Genomic DNA, 6000 nt, shown 5'->3' with positions numbered 1-6000 from the left:
ACAGGTACTTATTATAAATCCTGCCCTTAGGACAAACAACTTTTACATTATCATACTTCAGTTGTCCCACATATGCCTTCTGAATCATTCCTTCTCTATGGCATATAAGCCCTGGGTTCTGGGGTTAATGGCACAGGAATTTACCATCTTATCTCACTGCTGCCTGAGACACAGACATGGCTTCTGTTCATAAGTCCCTATTAATTGTTTCTGCCTAAGAAACTGTATTTATCAGCCTCTTTCTTCAGCATCTCAGCTTCCTCCAACTTTGGATAGGTTTGTATAGACCTGCTCACTGCAAAACAATTTTGTATGTGATTAAGCTGGTGATAATTTAAAAAGAATTATTCGTATTAGTGTTTTTAGAGATTGGGATTTAATATTAAAAATACACAAATAGAAAAACCACCTATTGGGTACTATGCTTATTACTTGGGTGATGAAATAATCTGTACACCAATCCCTTGTTACATGCAATTTACCTATATGACACCTACCCAAGTACCCCCCTGAACCTAAAATAAAAGTTCATAAAATACATGAATATAAAACTGACGAATTGGTTAGAACAAATATATTTTCTTAAAGTATTGATTTACTTTTGATGAAATTACAAAAAGCTTTACATTTTTAATTCTATAATCTCTTTTTGAAATTTCTCTGAGGCCAGGCATGGTGGCTCACGCCTGTAATCCCAGTGTTTTGGAAGGCCGAGGTGGGTGGATCATGAGGTCAGGAGATTGAGACCATCCTGGCTAGCACGGCGAAACCCTGTCTCTACTAAAAATACAAAAAATTAGCTGGGTGTGGTGGCGGGTACTTGTAGTCCCAGCTACTTGGGAGGCTGGGGCAGGAGAATGGCGTGAACCCAGGAGGTGGAGGTTGGAGTGAGCTGAGATTGCGCCACTGCACTGCAGCCTGGGTGACAGACCGAGACTCCATCTCAAAAAAAAAAAAAAAAAAAAGAAAGAAATCTCTCAGATTGATATTTCAGAAGCTTAACTCCTGATATACCCCACTGTTTTCAGCTTTTCTCCCTTTGAGAAGGCCTGGAATGGTAACTCCCTCTTTTAACTTTTGTTGTCTCCTATAACTATTTTTTTCTTCAATTCTAACTGTGTTATAGCCTGATACTAAAATGTTTTCTTTTGAAGATTTAAAAAAGTGATGTCTTCCTCTGTTGTAACTTAATTTGTTACTCTTGACTTTTCTTAAAATGTGTAGGGGCCAGGGTCCCTTTGAAGGTTCACTGAAAAATCAACTCAAAAAAGACAGATTCATTGAGAAGCAGATATGCAGTTTTTTGGGCATGTATACATGGGTGTGCTCAGAACAAAGATCCAATAAATGGGGGAAATTGTGCATTTTTATGCTTAGGTTCAAAAAATTAGGGACATCCATCTAAAAATATGATGGAAAAGGGTATAATTCAATGTTAGTGGACTGTGTGGGGAAACCCCAGCAAGACCTGCCTGTGTAGATTCTTCTTAACCTCCTTGAACATTCATTTTCTTCCTTCTCTGTGTGGGGGTCTTGCACTCTACAGTTCAAAAGGAAGATCAGATAATATCCTTATGTTCTTTCACAGAAAGGCAGAGAAAATATTGGAGTAATATTTTTAGGTTTTATGGCTGGCTTTGAGAAAAAGGAGTTTCAGTTTTGAGGACTCATCTTGGGAAAGCGAGATTCTAGTTGCTATGACCCGCCTTGAGGGAGCATGGGACTTGCAAACAGGAAGCCAGAAGAAGGCCAAAGAAAAACTTTTACTTCTGCAGCTGCCTCTAAATCCTTCATTTTGGGATATTGTTTTCTGAGCTCTAACATAGGTTTAAAAGTGCTCAGTATACCCAGGCAACATCCCATGCTGTTGCTAAGAGTCACATATTCCCCTGCTCAAGGTCTCTATAACAGTGTTCACTCATGACATGGAACACACTCTTCCTGTGTCTGATTAATTCACATTATCTTTTCATGAGGCTTGACTTTCAGGTTATCCAAATGGGCTTCCAATGACTCAAAACAATCACTCTGCATAAGGTTTTTCTTTACTTTTTGACAGCTAGCCTAGGAAATACAGATTTTAAGATAATTACTGTGTTGTTATAAAACCCTTAACCATTTTAAAACCTAAAAGTATAGGTTTAAAACCAGGTAGGGTTTTATATTCATGTAACTTTCTATATTGCTTTTGAAGTCTTTTGATTACCATTCTGGTTAAATGAATAACTATTATTTTACAATGACTTTTGATTCATTTTAATCAAATGTTTTGAGCCTTTCAATATCTTTTGACAAACATCCTCAAAAATCAAATTCTAAGTTAAGTCTCTGACTTAGACTTATTGCCGGGGGTTCATCAAAACTATACAAATTAATTACCCAGTGCTATACCATCTTTTTACAGTTTTCAATTAAGTCATAAACTCCACTATCACCACCTCCAGCCTGATGATTAGATCTCACCTAAAAAACTCCCTCCAGCCTCATTGAAAAGGGTCTTTATCAAATATTGTTACTAACCTTTTTGCTCTTAAGTTTCAGGTATTTGACTTCTGGGTACACATATCTCATTTAAAAAGGAGCACTGACTCCTACTGAATCTTAAATGTCAATGCTGACATTGAAGCGAGAAATTTTCCCTGAGTCCTTTGTGGGCAGGAACTGGAGTGCACGGTGCCAGCAGGTGCAAACTCTGTTCACTCAAACCTGCTGTGATCAACCCATCACGGGAGGAAGCATGCAGCTGAGCAGGTGCAGGAGCTGGGGCTAGCACTTTTGGGTGCCGGCAGGAACGAACTTCATTCTGGCCCCATGGCAGCGTCTAGGGGAGTGCCTGTGACCCCCAAAGCCCCAGAAGGAGTGTTACAGTCAGTGCCCTTTTAGCTTTGACATCCACAGATGGCTTAAGTGTTAACAGCTTAGTGGAGGGTAAATGTGACAGCCTTTTGCACCTGCACCCAAGTTCTTGTCTGACATCCAAGAGGAATGAGGTTGCAGGAACAAATTGGAGATGGTAAATGCGGGGATTTCATTGCTGATGAAAGTGGGTCTCAGTGGGAAGGGGAGCAGAAAAGGGAATGGATTGGGAAGGTAAGCTTCCCCTAAAGCTCTGAAGCTATACCATCAAGCTGTCTCTCTGAAATGAAGCCAATTTGCTCCAACATCCAGGCATAGTCACTGATGTCCTGCTGCTTCTCTTCTTTGCCAGCTGAGCCTGGGATTTTATGGGCACAGGATGATGGTGGGGACAGGCCATTGGTAGTTTTAGAAAAGGCAACATTAGAGTGGGAAACAGGAATGTATGTTCTCACTCTGGGCCACAGTTCCAGGTTTGAGGGTGGGGCCCTCACCCACCCTCTTCGGCCCAGAATTTTTCTGCTTCCTGTCGCTATCAGTATCTGACATCAAATGTAAGTTAACCAAAGCCTCATCTTCAGAGCTGGGAGAAGATGAGAGTGAAAAAAACTGCTTTTGTATGACACTAAACCAGGCTTGTATACAAAGGCATGAATACTCATTTAATAATTTTTTCTCTATCTAAATTAATATAATTTGTTCTATGCCTTAATGTTAGATAATAAATGCTAGCTACCTGTGAGTTTCCGTCTTCTGTCAGAGCAAGGCAGGAATTAAGCTCTTTTTCTTTAAAATGTTGCTGATTCCTTACATTTTGTTTTCCAGAGTAAAAAAAGAAATGCCTTTTCCTTTTGAGCTATATGTAGCTTACAAAATTGGTAAAACACAGATAGATTACCTTTGTCTCTCTACCTAATATCTGCCAAATGTAAAACCTGCTTAGACTCTCACTGGGCCTGATCTGTCTTCATTGCTAACACCTTGCTACTAAGGCTACATAGGCACCTTCCCTCTAGACCCAGGGGCTACTGTGGAAGAGGTGGGCAGGTGAGCTTGTAAGGGATTAATTTCAGAGACAGAATTATTTCAGAGCCTCCAAATCAAGGACAGACATCCAGATGCCTAAACAGCTGGCAAGGTAGGGGCCTTTTCCTCCTGGGCTATTACATGGCTGCTTTCCATCCATCCCAACTATAAAGAATTTTATGCTTGTCCCAGGATTAAAAGAAAATTACCAAGAGCATAACAAGAAACCTCGTCACAAAGCCTCCTGGATATACTGCTCCTAGCTGTGAGATTTATGCAGATATATGTAACTTTTTAAATCAGCCACCTCAGGACAAATGATGAAAAAGACCACGAAAAAGCACTGCAGCACAAAACAAGCCTCTGTGTTCTTTAGCTTAAATGGTTTCAACAAAATGCTTTTGTTATTTACAGCTAATTGCTAGAAGTCTGTAACAAAAATCAAGATTATTGTATTGCTCAATGCACAGAATGTATTGATAAGTCAATTTTGTAACCTTATCTTTTGGTTTTGGGCTCTTATATTGCTTAAAGATCTTAACGGCTGATAAATGCCTGCCCATCTCCATTCTCATCCAGCCCTACAACATTTAAATTTGCTATAAGTCTTTTGGCTCTAAGCCCCTTGGCCATACGGATCCCACCAAAGAACATGATGCACCTGGGGCAGATAGCCATAGCCACACACTCTGGCAACAATAGAGGACAAATAAAACTTTGGCCATCAATGTTGCCTCTGGAAAATCTTGACCTGAGGGAGAATAATGTAAACCAAAAATAAAAGTCTAAGCCCCCACCCCAACTGACACTCTCCTGGTTAAGGAGATCGCAAAGAAACCAAACAACTAGAAGAGAGTTCAGACATGACTCTTTCTACCCCCTCTCTTTGGAGTTTAGGCACAACTGAGCAACAGTAATGTTAAAATAGAGGTCCTGAGGCTGACAAAACAGACTCTCTGCAGCAACAAGATACCAAATTCTAACCTCACTCTGGCATAGTATCATATGACAGATAGCAGGTCCTGAAGAAAATCAAGATCTTTTACCCCAAAATATATTTTTGACACATTTTAGAATGGTCCTGCAAAGCCATTTCCTGTGGGGGAAATTTGCATTCTCTAGAGAATCTCCTTCCGTTTCTGGGTCTTTTATGGACCCAGAAGATACTTAACTAAGAGTCTTACACATTTTACAATCTATTCCCTCTGCAGCCTGCTACTTAGAGGCTTCGTCTATATAACAAGAACTGTGGTTTTGAAAACCATCTTACCCTAACTGAAGCATTTCTTTCTACTGATTTCTTAAGTCTTTAGACAAGGATTGACTCTTTCAACGAACTGCTGATAATAAAATCTTTGAATCCACCTATGACCTATAAGTTGTCACTTCAAGAAGTCCCGCCTTTCCGTGCCAAACCAACATACATCTTACATGCATTGATTTATGTCTTTGCCTCTAATTTCTGTCTTCTCCTTAAAATGTATATTGCCTGTAATTTCTGTCATCTTAAAATGTATAAAACCAAGCTGTCACCTGACCAATTTTGGTAAGATTATTCTTGGGATTTCTTGAGGCTGTGTTACAGGCCATGATCACTCATATCTGGCTCAAAATAAACCTCTTCAAATATTTTAGAGAGTTTGGCTTTTGTCAACAGCATATATATATACACACACACACACACACATATATATACATATATAAAAATATATATAACATACATATATATTATATGTAATATACATAATAAATATAAAAATACATACACATATATGTATATGTACATATACATATATAAAAAATATTCCCTTAACCCCATGTCACTATCCATGTATAACTTTATATTTGTTCCATTATTCAGAGCAAACTTTTGTGATTTTCTTCAATTTTTGAGCCTCCTTTCTCCTTAGTCTACTTCACAAGATATTCTGTCCAATCACTCCATCGAAGCCCCTCTGTGAAGGATAGGAACGACTGTTATCTTGCACTCTCAGGCAATCAACTTTCTGTTTCACATTACTTAAACTTTACCCAAAAACTCACATGTAGACCCCTCCCTTCTATTAAAAAGACTGTCTTTTCTAAGTTTCTACCACACCACACTCCTCTGGGTGCTCC

This window comes from Homo sapiens, chromosome 1 (genome assembly GCF_000001405.40).
Source record: "Homo sapiens chromosome 1, GRCh38.p14 Primary Assembly".
NCBI classification, from domain to species: domain Eukaryota; kingdom Metazoa; phylum Chordata; class Mammalia; order Primates; family Hominidae; genus Homo; species Homo sapiens.
Note: the sequence above shows the minus strand (reverse complement) of the source record.